Source organism: Homo sapiens, chromosome 3 (genome assembly GCF_000001405.40).
Source record: "Homo sapiens chromosome 3, GRCh38.p14 Primary Assembly".
Classification (NCBI taxonomy): Eukaryota; Metazoa; Chordata; class Mammalia; order Primates; family Hominidae; genus Homo; species Homo sapiens.
The window spans coordinates 164,669,289-164,686,114 of NC_000003.12; the positions used below are offsets into that span (position 1 = coordinate 164,669,289).

The following is a 16,826-nucleotide window of genomic DNA, read 5'->3' on the forward strand; positions in this document are numbered from 1 at the left end:
TAATTTATAGATTCAATGCAATCCCCATCAAGCTACCATTGACTTTCTTCACAGAATTAGAAAAAAAAGTACTTAAAATTTCATATGGAATCAAAAAAGAGCCCATATAGCCAAGACAATCCTAAGCAAAAAGAACAAAGCTGGGGGCATCACACTACCTGACTTCAAACTATGCTAAAAGGCTACAGTAACCAAAAGAGCATGGTACTGGTACCAAAACAGATATATAGGCCAATGGAACAGAATAGAGGCCTCAGAGATAATACCACATATTTACAACCATCTGATATTTGACAAACCTGACAAAAACAAGCAGTGGGGAAAGGATTCCCTAATTTAACAAATGGTGTTGGGAAAACTGGCTATCCATATGCAGAAAACTGAAACTGGACGCCTTCCTTATACCTTACACAAAAATTAACTCAAGATGGATTAAAGACTTAAATGTAAGATCTAAAACCATAAAAATCCTGGAAGAAAACCTAGGCAATATCATTCAGGATATAGGCATGGGCAAAGACTTCATGAATAAAACACCAAGAGCAATGACAATAAAAGCCAAAATTGACAAATGGGATCTAATTAAACTAAAGAGCTTCTGCACAGCAAAAGAAACTATCACCAGAGTGAATAGGCAACCTACAGAATGGGAAAAAAATTTTGCAATCTATCCATCTGACAAAGAACTAATATCCAGAATTTAAAAGGAACTTAACAAATTTACAAGAAAATATGAACAACCCCATCAAAATATGGGCAAAGGATATGTACAGACATTTCTCAAAAGAAGACATTTATGCGGCCAGCAAACATAGGAAAAAAAGGTCATCATCTCTGGTCATTAGAGAAATACAAATCAAAACCGCAGTGAGATAGCATCTCATGCCAGTTAGAATGGCGATCATTAAAAAGCCAGGAAAAAACAGATGCTGGAGAGGATGTGGAGAAATAGGAATGCTTTTACACTGTTGGTGGGAGTGTAAATTAGTTCAGCCATTGTGGAAGACAGTGTGGCAATGCCTCAAGGATCTAGAACCAGAAATACCCTTTGACCCAGAAATCCTATTACTGGATATATACCCAAAGGATTATAAATGATTCCACTATAAAGACACATACACACATATGTTTATTGTGGCACTGTTTACAATAGCAAAGACTTGAAAACAACCCAAATGCCCATCAAAGATAGACCAGATAAAGAAAATGTAGCACATATAAACCATGGAATACTATTCAGCCATAAAAAAGGGTGAGTTCATGTCCTTTTCAGGGACATGGATGAAGCTGGAAACCATCATTCTCAGCAAACTAACACAGGAACAGAAAACCAAACACCGCATGTTCTCCCACATAAGTGGGAGTTGAACATTGAGAACACATGGACAAAGGGAGGGGAACACCACACACCGGGGCCTGTCAGGGGTTGGGGGGCTAGGAGAGGGATAACATTAAGAGAAATACTTAATGTAGATGATGTGTTGATGGGTGCAGCAAACCACCATGTCATGTGTATACCTATATAACAAGCCTTTATGTTCTGCACATGTATCCCAGAATTTAAAGTATATTAAAAAAATTAATTTACTGACCATTTCATTTGATTTTATGTTGTTTCTTTAATCAGTTTTGTTTCCTTATTAAATCTTTTGGTATTTACCATCAAATCTATAATGTAAATTTTGTACATTTTTAACAAATATAAGCCTACCTTCATATAACAATATCAATTTATGTGTAGTGCAGATGCCTTATAGCAGAGTGTGAGGGCTTATTTAATGGGTCAATTTGACTGGGCTAAGGGATGCTCCGATCGCTGGTAAAATGTTGTTTCTTGGTGTGTCTCTGATAGTATTTCCAGAAGAGATTGGTATTTGATTCAGTAGACTGAGTAAACATCACTCTCACCAATGTAGGTAGGCATTATCCCATTTTTTCAGGGCCTGAATAGAAAAAAAAAATCAAGGGTGAATTTTTTCTCTCTGCTTGAGCTGGCACATTCATTTTCTTTTACCGTTGGAAATCAGGACCTTCAGGTTCTCAGACCTTCAGACTCAGACTGGGACTCACACCATTAACTCCTCTGGTTCTCAAGCCTTTGGTCTTGGACTGAAACTATATCAACAACTTTCTTGGGCCTCCAGCTTGTGGACAGCATATCATGAGACTTCTCCATCTTGATAATACATGAGCCAATCCTTCATAATAAATCTATTTCTCTCTCTCTCCCTCTCTCTCTATGTATAGATAGATAGATAGATAGATAGATAGATAGATAGATAGATATGCATATTTTATGGTTTCCCCCATAGAGTACCTTCAGTGATACACAGAATATTCTTAATTTCCCCCATCTTTTGTGATACTGCTGTCATTCACTTCATTTTGCCATGTGGTATAATCATTCAGTACACATATTTTATTAGTAAATATTACTTTAAACATATTTTAGATCAATTACAAATAAAACCAATAAATTACATTATTTAACCCGCATTTTTTCTATCTCTGATGCTCTTCTTTTTAAATGTAGATCAAAATGACTGATTATACCGTTTTACTTCTGCTAGAACAGTGTTTGTTAGCATTTATTGCCAGGCAGGTCTGCTGGTAATTCATTCTCTCAGTTTAATTTGTCTAAGAAAGTCCTTATATCTCCTTCATTTTTAAAGAATAGTTTAGCTTGATATAGAATTCTAGATTGTGTTGTTTCTTCTTTCAAGACTTTAAAAAATTTATTCCACTCACTTTTGGCTTGCACGGCTTCTGACAACAATTGAGGTATAATATGTATGCTTCTTTATCATTAATTAAGTTGTTCTCACCCCTCTGAATTCTTTCAGGATTTTCTCTTTGACTTTATGTTTTTCAGGTTGACTATTATATGCCTAGATTTTTTTTGTTTGTGTGTGTTTGTGTATTTTTTCTTCTCATGTGCTCCACTCTGTTCTCTATTCTTTTTATATTTGAATTGTGCATATGTTACATCTTTTGAAATTGTCCTGCATTTCCTGAATGTTCTATTCTGGTACTTTTTTCTTTCTTTTTTCTTTTTTTCTTTTTTTATTTTTTGTATTTGCAATTCAGTTGGAGAAATTTTGGTTGAACTAAGCTCACCAATTATTTGTTTGACTGTGTTATGTCCAATAATGAGGCCATTGAAAGCCTTCTTCAATCACTTTACTGTGTTTTTCAATTCTTGCATTTCCTTATGATTTTTTCTTATAGATTCCATTTCTCGGCTTAAATTGCACATCTTGTCTTTTAATCTACTTTTTTCATTATAGTCCTTAACATGTTCATCATAGCTATTTTATATTCTTTGTCCGATAAGTCCAACATATGTCAGGTTCTGATCATTTCTATATTATAGATCGACTGTGTTTTCGCTGCTTTTTGTCATGTCCTGTATTTTTTTTTCTTAAAACCTGAACATGTTACATTAGGGACTAAGAACAAACATAAGGTAAAAAGGTCTTTAGCATGAAGATTTACCGTAACCTTAGTAGGAGTCAGGCTGTGTTTAATGTTTCCTATATGTAGTTATAAGGGCTTGAGCTTTCAAATTCCTCTAGTGTCCTTATTTTTGTCTCCTTTCTCCAATTTAGACTTTATTAATCAATTCTACTCGGCAAGAATCTGTGCTTTAGATCATATTTGGCTGGTATTAGACTGGAGCCCAGTTAGTGTGATGTTAAAGTGTGAAGGAAGGGAATATTCTTTCATCTTCTATTTAAATTTCAGTGTTTTATAAGCCTCTGTCTCTGAGCTATGACTGTCACAAATATTTCCTGAGTTGTAAAGCTTTGTTTCTCATGCCCATTAGCTCCATCCTTAGCTATAACATTCTCAATCTATTTCCTTTAATCCCAAACCTTTTTGACTATGTTTCTCCACTCCCTTAGATGAAATGACATAAATATATGTGACTGGATTGGAAGAATACACCTTCCCCCACTGGGATAAAGCTCTGTAAAATTATTTTTAACCTGCAGTACAAGCCTTTAAAAAAACACACACACACACAAGTTTTAGGTTTATTTTACAATCACTACTTTCCCCTTATCCCTGACAAAGACATGACATTTTTTGTCAGGTTGAAAAAATGTTAAGTGGAAAATGTTAAGGTTCTTGGAGGTAAAACTCACAAAAGTGAAAGTAACCCTGAAGAGCAGGTACCCCACAAATTTCTCACTCTCACACTAGTTTAAAATCAGCCTCCAATAATTCATCAAAACTACCATTTAAGTGCTCTCTGTACCTTCTGCTCCAGGTAAGCAGATCTTGATTATGTCCCTGTGAGACTTTGTGTCTCCAAATTTTGTAATGCTGGTTTACCTGACAACTTAAACATAATTGATTTTCAATTTATCTCCCTTTCTTGGTTGTAAGGATGGGAATGACAATGTCCAAGTTCTTCATCTGTCAGAGCTGAAGCTGGACATTATCTTTAAGTCCAGGTTTTTTTTCAGTTTCTTGGGCTTTGAAATAACATGTAACCAAATGCATTTTATATTCATTAAGACTTCCTACTTGTTCAATGTCAAAAAGTTCTGATACTATATAGATGATCATGTTACTAAAGTTAGACCCCGCCATTATTTAATGTGTAGCTCATTTGTCCACAGTAGAGTGTGATCCTCTTCTTTCCCAGCAGGGGACCCTGCATTTTTATTGAAGAAGAAGCTAGTCCACCTTGCCTTCATACTTTCATTTCATCTGTAAGTTAGTAATAAAAAATCATCTACTTCTTTTTAAGACGAATGTCTGTGTATAAAGGGTATTGTTGGAGCTCTAATTCAACTTATAAAAAAAACTGAATGTGACTCTTGAATTCTGCTTTTTTGAAAAAAATAAATATTTAATTTATCCACACCTTGAATTAATTGCTAGTGATTTTGTATGGAAACAGAAAGTTTAAAATTTAAAACATGGCATCTAAATTTAAAAACTACTTTGCAGTTATAAACACTCGACTGAATAATAATAATGGTAGTAACATTAATTTATTCATGAATAAATAATAAATATGAAAATTTACAATTTACTCCCACATAATAAAGAAAATAAAAATTTGATTTAAAAATATTATGAATACAGAAAACATACCTATTCAATTAAGAAAGAAGAGGCCAAGGAGCGGTGGCTCACGCCTGTAATCCCAGCACTTTGGGAGGCCGAGGTGGACAGATCATGAGGTCAAGAGATCGAGACCATCCTGGCTAACACGTTGAAACCCTGTCATTACTAAAAATCCAAAAATTAGCCAGGCGTGGTAGCACACACCTGTAGTCCCAGCTACTCGGGAGGCTGAGGCAGGAGAATCGCTTGAACCTGGGAGACAGAGCTTGCATTGAGCCGAGATTGCACCACTGCACTTTGGCCTGGGTGACAGAGTGATACTCTGACTCAAAATAAATAAATAAAATAATAAAATGAATAAAAATAAAAATAAAATATAAAAGACATTCTTATAAGAGAGAACAGAATACCAAGGAGATGAAAATTATTAGAAATATAAGAAAGCTTTTTGAGATAAAAATGATGAATATTTTTAAATTTATCAAGCTAATAGAGAAATACATTTCAGGCAAAATTATTGAAAAAAAAGGTATCTACTTTTATATATAGCCAAATTTAATGGTCAAGTTTTAGAATAAAAATACAATCACGGAAGAAAAATCCATTTTTATTTTATGTACAAAATAATAGGTATCCTACTTGCCCTTGTTCTTCTCTCCCAACATGCGAATAACAGACTAAAAGCAATGTTTACTGAGATTTAATAGAGAAAGTTTGGCATTAAGACATTTATATCTTTACTAGATATTAATTCATTTGTGAAGAAACAAAAAAAATTTGTAGATATTTCAATATGCAGAAAGAGGTGCCACAGAAACTTATGTAATCACTGATAGGTTCTTTCTGCCTACTGCACTGACAAGAATCAGCCCACTGACACCATGGTGTTGTAGTAAAGAAAGAATTTAATTCGAATTTTGTTTAATCAAAAGTAATTTTATCCATGGACTGAATCACAAGGGGCCAGATCCTTCTTTGAAATAAAAAAACCAAAAGACAGAGAAAGAAGGTAAGCTCTGTATGTATCTTGCCTATCAATCAACCAAACAGAGATCCCTGCCTTTTATTATTTTTGAGCAATTTTGTAGTTCTGTAAGTTGTAGATTGTTGATAGCAGTGCCAGTTGAATTGTTCTTTCACAAAGATACGCAAATTAATTATTTATATTGAAGGAAATATAATTCCGGACCCTCAACGTAGTTTTGCATTTATTTGTAAATTCATATCAGCAATCTTTACTTCCCACTCTCTAACCTGTCCCAACTCCTCTCCATGTCTGTGGGTGTAGATGTAAAACTGAATTATCTTTGGAATCCATTGTAACATCTTGCTGGCTTTCTAAACAATTATTAAATAAAATCATTGGCAAGTTTTTTTTTATTTGTATCAGAGCCATAATTATATTTTCATTAAAAATTTACTCTTTTAGAGTTTACTCCTAGGGAGATGTTTCCTATTGAAATAGTAGACAACCAAAGTTATGTATATTTAAAAAGTTTCCCATGAAGCATAGGAATACAAGTATTATATGAGAATAAAAATTATTTATCTTAAAGTACTAGAATTCAAAGGATATAGTATAAAATTGTGGAAAAAGTAAGGAATCTAAGTTCTTTAAACTGAGAAAAGCATTCTTTTATTTAAAAATTGGCTTTTTTATGAACATTAATTAACAATGTTAGTTAATATTATCAGTTGTAGAAAAAACTTCAATGTAGAAAACTCAAACTAACCTCACACAAATAATAAAAAATTTAAGTCAGGTCTTGACTTAAAAGTATGAGGAAAAAAATTTATAGATAAATTTGGGTCTTACAAAAGTTTTGTTTTAATTCTAAATTTTTAAATAGGTTTTCCTTGTATTTTTGGTCTTTTCATTCTGATTATACTGTTTCAATTAAGAATGTAAATGTGGGCAAAGTAATTTTTCCAAAACAAATCTTAAATAGAATTTTTAAATAAATAAATTTTTATATAAAACAAAAATTATATTCATTAAGCTTTAGAAACCTGTCAAACCCTCAATAAAATACTTGCTATGTAAGTTCAAACTACAGTTTATGATAAAATAACTCTATCTGGTTTGGCCAGATGTCTACCTTTGAAAAAAGAACAGCAAAGGAAATAATCTAAAAATTATGAAAAATTAAAATTAAAGAATATGGGTTAGAAGTAATGGTAGCATAGCAACAGAGAGATACTGCTCTTAGACACATTCTTAAGTCTTCAAGTACCATTTTATTCAGTAAGCTGATAATTATAAAATGCTTCATGTAGTGACAATCTGAAAGAATTAATTTTGGAAAAAGTAACATGTAGCTAAAATATCCTTGAAGTGTACTTAGTCATATGATTTTCAACTAAATTCAGCAAATTAAAATCATAATGAGCTCTAACTTCATCCTTATTAGAATAGCTATAATTATGAGTGTGTGTGTGTGTGTGTGTGTGTGTAAATTACACCAAATGCTGGCAAGGACTCACAACAAGACCTTAGTAGCAAAGAACATACATAGTACCTGGTCTTGATTTCTTCATACCACTCTTCAATAAAAGGACAAAATTTCCTTGGGAAAATGGCTTATTTTAGGGCCCTGAAGCACATTTTAGGGCCAAAAAGTGATAAATTGCTAAAAGAAATAACATGTAAGTAAAATATACAAGCAGCAGTTTGAGTGTCCCCAGTGATCAAAGCTGAAACAATTTAAGTAATAAAATACATAATAGTGTTGGATTCAAACCCTAAGAAAGAAAGAAATATTCATAAGTCCACAATGACATAAACGATTGAATAAATGTATACATTCAGGAGAAATAAAAAAATTCTTACAAATGAATTCCAAATAATAATCGTAGGAGGAATGAAGAAAATAAAAATTCACCACTAGAACTCCATAATAAAAGTTGCTGCGGGCAGGACCGACTGATAACTGTTAAGAAGAAATAGGATATTTGCATATTCTCAGACTCTCTCTATCAGCAAACTAATTAATTAATATGATAATTTTAGCACATGTCCACAAATTCTTTGATAATTCTTCCCTATGAAGATAGAAGTTAATTCTTATCTTCTTGAATGTAAACTGGATTTGGTGACTCACTGTTTATGAATAGATTGTGGAAAGGAAAACAATACTAACGAAAACAGTGAAAAAACTTGGCAGACACTACCTTAACCAAATGATCAAATTTAACGTTTCCAGTATTAATAGTGATATCATGTAACTTCTGATATGGGTCGCGAGAAGGGCACTTTACCTGTGTTACATTATTTTCCAAAATCTATATACCTAGTTCAATCTTGACAAAACATCAGGCAAACCCAAACTGAAAGACATTCTACAAGATATCTGATCAGTAATCTTCAGTTATAAAAGACAAGACTGAGAAATTCTCAAAAATTAGAAGATGACAAGTTAATGGGTGCAGCACACCAGCATGGCACATGTATACATATGTAACTAACCTGCACATTGTGCACATGTACCCTAAAACTTAAAGTATAATAATTAAAAAAAATCATTACCATTATTCATGAAATTAAAAAATCTTCCAAAAAAAAATTAGAGGACAATAAGAAGATATGATTAAATACAGTATTGTGTCCTAGATTGGATCACAGATATATCAAAGGATAACAGTGGGAAAACTGCTGAAATCTAAATGAAGTCCTAGTTTGTACCTTAACATTGTACCATTATTAATTTCTTGTATTGTTAAAGAATCCATGGTTATGCAAAATGTTAACCTCAGGAAAAACTGAGTGAAGTGAGTAGAGAAACTCTCTGTAATCTCTTTGCAACTCTTTAAACCAACCAAATGTTATTTCAAAATAAAAAGTTCAAATGTGAAAAGAAGTCTACTTACATCCTGACAAATTAAATAGGCCTTTTTCTTACATTTGCCTGTCACCCCTCTTTATAGCTAAATAGTGTTTTAGTAGTTAACTCTCACCATAAACATAAATGTTCTCTTAAATTACTTGGTTCAAAGGCATTTGTTTATAGAATGCATGATGTCTATATAGGGATAGATATTGTTCCCTACATATTTTTCTTGCCATTTTCCAGCATGTATAAACGTGAAGCCTGGAAAACATATCACCTGGGTAAGCAACATAACATACTTTCTTTCTGTGCATAAGAGAAAGCAATATCAAGTACAGAACGCTAATACTGGTTTACTTAAATGTGTGATACTTTAATGCATACTGTGAAATAACTTGTGTTACCTCAAAATTTCATTTATTATTCAGTATGGAAAGTGCAAATCTAGAATAAAACAATATGCATGTAATTTACATGAGGACATGCAGGTGTTAACAATACTTTTAAAGTAATTTCAGTAATGTCTACTAACTAAGTTAAAGAGATCTTTCATGGTGATTGGTGGGATTATGAACATTTCTTGTTCAACAGTTACACCTGACTATAACATAAACAGAAAAGCACTGGAGTGGCTTAACATTAGTTTTATTATCACCATATTGTTTAGCATATACTGAGAAGAAATGAAAAGGAACATTTCTATTTAATTTGTTAGAAAGTTTAATATTAATAATTGAGTATGTTTGCACAGTAGATGAAGATAAATCCTCTTTTAGGTAACGCATTTCCTATCTCTGATGTTCAATGTAGAATGAAAAACTAAATTATGTGCTCAAAAACACAGAACTCTTAAATGCACACGTTTCATCTCTGATCACTGTGATAAAATAATGAGGCCTTTATTTCCACTTAAATAACTTTAGGGAGAGGAAAAGGGATGAGAATATATTTGGTAAACATTAAGATGAATCATTAAAAGAAAAACACTTTAAAACAAAACAATAGCATATATATATATATATATATATATATATATATCCGATTTCCATCAGTTTGATGGGGTGTTGAGAGAGTTTTCTGAACAAGACAGAAAATCCTTTGGAATGGAGGCTGGTTAAGAAGTGTGGTTTGTTTACTAGTAATAAGGGCCTGAGAGAGAGAAGCAGGGAAAGACACATACGAACACCTGTGTGGATCAAGACTTAAATTCTTGTGGATTTAGTAATGGAAAAATCTCCAAGCAGCTACAAGAGACTTTGAATGTGATTAATTGTGGGACTTAGTGTGAAACTAGCATCTGTGGAAAACCTGGGCATGTTTCATATGTATGCTGCTTTCTTATAAACAATCCCTGTACTAAAATATTGGATTTTTGCAGGGGGAGTAATGTGAAATTTAATAAGCTGTATTTCTCAAATACTTTATTGTTTTACTGTGCTTTTTAAAAACTTACTGATTCAATCAAAACATTATTGCCTAATAGTCATGAACCACTGTGCTTATCACTGAGGATTCAATTGTGCCCAAAAGAGACATGATCTCAGCCACTGCAGAACTCACAGTCTAATTAACAACATAAATTAAAAAGAAATACAAATTAATTCTGTGTTTATAAAATTAATACAGTTTTTGAAAGAGACAAGCAGAAAATTAGGTCTACAACACTGAAGAGGTTGAGTTGGAAAGCCTTCTCTGTGAAGGTGTTAATTAAACTAAGACAAGAAAAGCAAAAAGAACTCATAATTCAAAAATTTCTCCAGACAGAGACAATAGCATGTTCAAAAGCCCCGTAGTAAAAGAGCCTAGAAATTGTCAGAAAGAAAAAAAAGACAATGCATATGAATTGTGGTAGGCAAGGGGAGAGAGCTGGAAAGGAATTCCACTAATAAATTCATTAATTAGTTATTTCATTCAATGAATAAATATTAATTTACTAGTAAAACAATTTTGGAAAAAAAAATGTGTGTAGCATGCACCTTTGAAAAACTTAGAATCAGTGAGAAAGAAAGAGTAACATTTCATCATGCAAACAAATATAAATGCATCTGATCCCAGGCAAGCACTATGAAGCTCTGGGCTTTACAATAAGAATATTGACCTAGTCAGGGGTGTTAAAGAAGATGAGTGCAGAAGTGAAATTTATCCTGAAATCTTAAAATGAATACAAGTTAGCTTGATTGAGAGAGAAGGAAAATATTTTCTAAATAAGAAATATAGCTATACAATTATCTTGTGACCGGAGGAAGTATAAGCTCAAGGAAGTTAAAAGAGGCCAATGTGGCTACAAAGAAAAGAGCAAAGGGAGCTTGTGTGACCAGGATGAAGAGAAAGGCTGTGGCTAGAGCATCATGGCTTGTAGCCCCTGCAAGAGTTGTATCCTGATCATAAGAACAAGGGGCCATCTTTAAACAGGAGAGATTCACATGCACTGATTAAAGTTCAATAAAATTCAGTACATAGTACAGAAAGGAGATAAGAGGGGTCCAGCCTGGCTGTTGTCAGAACTTTCGGGAGCTCTTGCAGCCTCACTTCTGCAAGAGGATGATGTACTGTGCTGGGGTTGCAACAGCGGACTTGGAGAAAGGTGGTAAGATTCAAGGTAAATAAATCTAAGGGTGGAATAGGTAGGCATAAAAGATGACATACATGATTCTAACACACATTGGTGAATGATAGTAGCATCCACTGAGATGACCAAGTACAGTGGCTGGCAGCATGTCTGAAAAGAGAAATTAAAAGTTCCATTTTGAGTTGCCTGTGAGAAATACAATTGGAAACATTTCAGCTCACTTATTCAGTTCATGTAAGTCTCTGGCTGAATGCCACCTCCTCAGAAAGTCCTTCCCTGATGACTATCTAAAATTACCCTCGTAAGCTAGTAGTTCTGTCACTCCAACTACTCTATGGCAGTTTCTGAATTAATGTTATAAATTTATTTCTGATTGTAATTTTCCTCCAGTGGAGGTTAAGCTACATGTGGGTAGAGAAATTGTATGACTTTTTAAATATTAAAGTACCTAGCAGAGTGATGGGTACATGGTAGGTAATAAATATGCCAGTGAATAGATGAATGTATGGATGAATAAAGGAATGACAAGAAAGAGCAATCAGACATATAAATCTACCACTCCTGTATAGAGCAATATCCTCTCCTATGAAGAAGTAGAAAAATAATTGACAGAACTGAACCACACAACAATGATTGCAATGTCTGGAGGTGCTTACACCAAAAGAGTAAACAAAGGAGATGCATGTTGTTACTACACCTACAGATTAATTTCTTATAAAAAGAAATACTGGTTTAGTCCTAATTGAAATAGCACCATTATTTCTAAAATGTGGGTGTATATTTTATGATATAGTAATATTTATGAGTTGATCTCAAATGACTTTCTTAAACCCCAGGTGGGAGTCAAATAACCCTCTTAAACTCCAGATGGTGGATTTCTATTTAGGGAGAGTATTATAAGGGAAATGTAATTCCTTATTTCTAAATAGGTGTCTTAAAATTGAAGACTACAATGTGATACAAATACAATCAATACTAATGTTTTACTGAATAAACAATAAAACAAATTTGGTACAGACATTTTGGGTCAAAATTCTGTCATTTCATTGTAAGAAAATTTATTTTATTAGTGGCAATAAAGTTAAAATAGGATAGCTATCTTCACAATGATAATTAAGGATTGGGTAGCTAAAGTAGTTTATTCATCTGTATTGTTGCACTACACACTATTGGCCAATTTTTTGCACTTATTTCCAGAAAACAAGAATTATAACAAGATGACATAAGTGCTATAACTGAATTTTCTATGACAAAAACATCAGAGAAAACAAGAAGAGATCACACTGACCCTACCTAGCAGACTACAAAAGTGTTAATGTGAGCAGAATATTGGGAAATCAATAGGAATCTACTAAAATGGAAGAGTGTAAAGAGAGAACAAAAGGGAACAGAAAAGAGCTTGTGAAAACTCAGGGAGACATAAAACACCGGACACACTCAGAATGTCTTCACATATTTACCACTGTATAGGTGTGTTTGGGGGAATGGTTGGTCATGTGTCTAAGTAAATGGGAAGGAACTGCTTAGTGAGGGACTGGCATAGTCTGCAAAGTACCACGGACTTTATGCTTTATGAGATGTAGTGCCATTTAAGGATTTTAAATGGCTTGACAGCATTTGTATTTTAGAAAGGTCACCTCTAATTTGATTTGAAGAAAGGTCTCTAGATGAACAAAGAAAGATACTGTTTAAACCTCTCTTTAAATATTACCATAGAAGCATTACCAACGGCAGAGGAAAGTAAATCATACCTGCGGGAACTGGTACGGGAATCCAAAAATCCCCACTGGTTGTGAAAAGAAATGGGGAGTTCAGCGCTTTAAAAAATAAATGTAGGTAAATATACCAATCTACTTTGTAAAAATTATATTTGTAATTATTCACTAATTATACCACTTCATTCTCATCTGTAAAAAATTATTCTGAGAAAAGTAGACTCAGAAAAAAATCTTAGTTCTCACTTGGCACCCCAGTCTGTAACCACTGGAGAAGAGAAAATTCAATTTAAAAAGCAGAGCGGCAAACATAATTTTACAGATAGAAGAGCTATGTTTAACAGAAAAGTTTTGTATGGCATATGCAAATAATTGAAACAAAACAACACAAAAAAAGGAAAATAGCAAAAGCAAAAATGTTTGTTACCCAATTAGAATATGAAAAATTGTACAAGAAAACTTTATGTGACTTGAACCCTGTATTAATAAATCCTTCTGCTATATGTGGAAAAATTATATTTTAGAGTTACGTTCCTTGAAGTTTTTCATTTGCCCATATTTTTAAAGCCATCTTTTAAAAATTCACATGTAAAACAATCTTTCTGTCTGCTGATTGTGTATTAATAATAATAAAACATCCTTGAATTTTAATTTACATCACAAGAAATGTTATTTTTTAACATTGAAGAGGATACAATCCCAGCTCAATATCTCTGCTGCCAATTTTATTCTAAATTTTAAAGTGTGCCTAGCAAAAACACTTATTATACTCCATTTTGTCAACATTTCTCTTTTCTAAAAAATACAAAATATATTGAAATTTAGTAATAAATATAGTTTCATTTTTTGCCATACTCTTCTTCTATACTACTAGGAGTTTTTAGCTCCTCCATGAGATTTAATCTAAAAATTCATACACTGTCTGATTTCTCAGGCCTGAAATTCTACTATGGTAGGATATATCTATATATGTATTTCATGTGTTAAAATACATTTGGGTAAATATCTGCTTGGCTGAGAAAGACAGCCCCAATATAGAGTAGTGTGAATAAATATCACCGAGTATAAATTGATGCTATCTCTGTCATCAAAACTTTTCTTCAGAATTATTCTGGTGTTCTTGAGGTATAACATGGCTTTTGCTTTCTAAACACCAAATGCTCCACATTCCACACATCTTATACTCTGTTATCTTTAGGCCTGTGGACAACAGTGGAAGGGGTGGAGATTGCACAGTCAGGTATTACCAAATTCAGCTTCACGTTTATCCTAAAGCAATGTCCAGGTCAAGAAGTCAAGCCACAAGATACCATCTGATTTTGTTGCCACACTTACTCCTTACGGCAATTTTCATTTCAGGGATCTCTTTTCTCCCTAGGAATCCAGGTTTATTCCAGAACATACCCAAGGATTCAGTTTCCTAAAAGAGATGTATTAAAATCTATCAGGAAATGATAGTTATATACATAAATAATTGTAATAAGAGATAACGACTAATTATGTCACAGGTAGTTGTCAAAGTGTTGTAGGAAAAAAGACTTATTTGTTATGAGAACAAAGAAAGGAGAAACAAAATTTTCCTAGAAAAATTAGGACTTTTTTTTAAAGAAAATGCCATCTGACCCCCTTTTAATTAAAAAAGGAAAGAAAAGCAATACAGGCAGCAAGAACAGCAAGACCAAAGTTGTATACTTAGAGATGTTTGGAAGAATGTTCAAAGAGATGGCTCTCAAATTGTGCTCCCCAGTATAGATTATCAGCATCATATAGGAATTTACTAGAAATGCAAAATCTTGGCCCAGCGCGGTGGCTCACGCCTGTAATCCCAGCACTTTGGGAGGCCGAGGCGGGCGGATCACGAGGTCAGGAGATCGAGACCATCCTGGATAACATGGTGAAACTCCGTCTCTACTACAAATACAAATTAGCCGGGTGTGGTGGCGGGTGCCTGTAGTCCCAGCCACTGGGGAGGCTGAGGCAGGAGAATGGCGTGAACCTGGGAGGCGGAGCTTGGAGTGAGCCCAGATCACGTCACTGCATTCCAGCCTGGGCAACAGAGCAAGACTCTGTCTCAAAAAGCAAAAACAAACAAACAAAAAAAAGAAAAGAAATGCAAAATCTTGAGCCCAGTCTAGACCAACGAGGTAAAAAAATTCGGGGATCATAGACTAGTAATCTCTGCATTAACATGGTCCCCAGATAATTCTGAAGCATATGAAAACTTGAACACTAGAAAGTAAACCTTAGGAAACACAACAAGTAACTGTTTCATATAGCTCAAATGTACAAAGATAAGTGTTAAAAATAGGTTTCAGTTTTATTCAGTAAGCATTTACTAGATGACAGGGAAAGATAACTTTGGTGCCATTATAGACATTTAATCAGGTTAGTGAAGAAATGAGACCACCCGTAAGGGGAAGAATACAGCTTGAGCAGAAATAGTAGTAGGAAAGATGGATAGTAGGTGTTAGACAAAAGATAAATTGGAGATTTAGAATTTCCTAGGTAATGTGTAATCTTTCAAAATGATTATCTGGAGTCAAAGTTTTAAACCAAAGAAAATACAGTACAGAAAATTGTAAGCATCTGAACATATTAATGGTGTGTGTTGCGGGGTGGGAAGGATTATATTTGCTTGAAGAGAATTTGTGCTACCCTATAAAGCACCTACTAATAGCAATGTGCATTATGCAATGTGAAGAAAACGAATCAGTTACGGTCTTGTGTTCTTTGTCTTCTTCCAATCTGGATTGATGGAATATGGAGGTTCTTCACTACAGCGTCGTATCTCATGTCTGTTTCTGAAATATTAAATGTAGCCTCAGTCTTCTTTTAGTAGAAACTAATGTTTGCCTATCTATACAACCAATAAATATAAAGTATTTCTGTTAAAATAGATATATTTGAAATTTATATATAATATATATTATATAAAAATTTATATACCATTAAATTTAAATTCAATTTTATATATACATATGTTTAAACATATTCTCCAGTGCAGAAATGGAAGTCCCAACTGGTAAGATGAGATAGGTGAGATAAAGAAAATAAAGCAATAAATCACTCTGCCATCTAAAATAATATAATTTTTGAAATATATTTTTATAAAACTGACATTTTTTGTCACTATTTAATCTCAAAACAAGTCAGTCTGTTTCTTAAGCTCATTTTTATTTTTTCTTGCAATATCAGTCTTTGGCAGAGCATTTTGATGTCATCCAAATATTTTCATTTTCAGTGTTTTGATAACAATATAAAAACATACTTGCACCCCATAAATATAACAATTCTGGTCACAAAAAGATTGTGACTTTATTTAATTTTTCTTTATACACTTCACATACATTTGTAAAGAACTTTAGAAAAACCCTTTAAAGATGGCTGCTTTAGCTGGAAAGTATGTTCTTTTTGCCCTTCCTCTTCAGTTCCTACCCAATATGTAGATAAGATCGCCAGAGCTTCAGCAACCATCTGAAAAATGAGATCACACTGGAGATCAAAGCCATGATGGCAAAAAGTAAATATAGAAATTAACTGACCTGTAATGTTATGGTGCTTCTTTACAAGCCTTAGATTGTCAATGTGAGTCTCTAACAATAAAAACAAAAGCATTTAAATCACTGTTTTTGG

At 33.3% G+C, this 16,826-nt stretch overlaps 2 long non-coding RNA genes across 3 annotated transcripts in view; one reads left to right on the top strand and one right to left on the bottom strand.

The window, feature by feature from the left end:
* LOC105374191 (uncharacterized) overlaps positions 1-16,826 on the top strand; it is a 237,185-nt gene that overhangs the window by 218,602 nt on the left and 1,757 nt on the right. The window contains exon 4 of one of the 2 annotated variants that reach the window (XR_001740999.3): positions 13,195-13,587. The exons of the other annotated variant lie outside the window; for it this stretch is intronic. This is a non-coding gene — a long non-coding RNA (uncharacterized LOC105374191). Of the gene's footprint in view, positions 1-13,194; positions 13,588-16,826 lie in introns of those variants that run through there. 2 annotated transcript variants of the gene reach the window in all.
* On the bottom strand, positions 1,586-16,763 carry LINC01323 (long intergenic non-protein coding RNA 1323). The gene is made up of 4 exons (NR_189166.1): positions 16,736-16,763; positions 15,911-15,994; positions 14,529-14,613; positions 1,586-1,943 (listed from the first exon to the last, which is right to left on the bottom strand). It is a non-coding gene; the product is annotated as a long intergenic non-protein coding RNA 1323 (long non-coding RNA).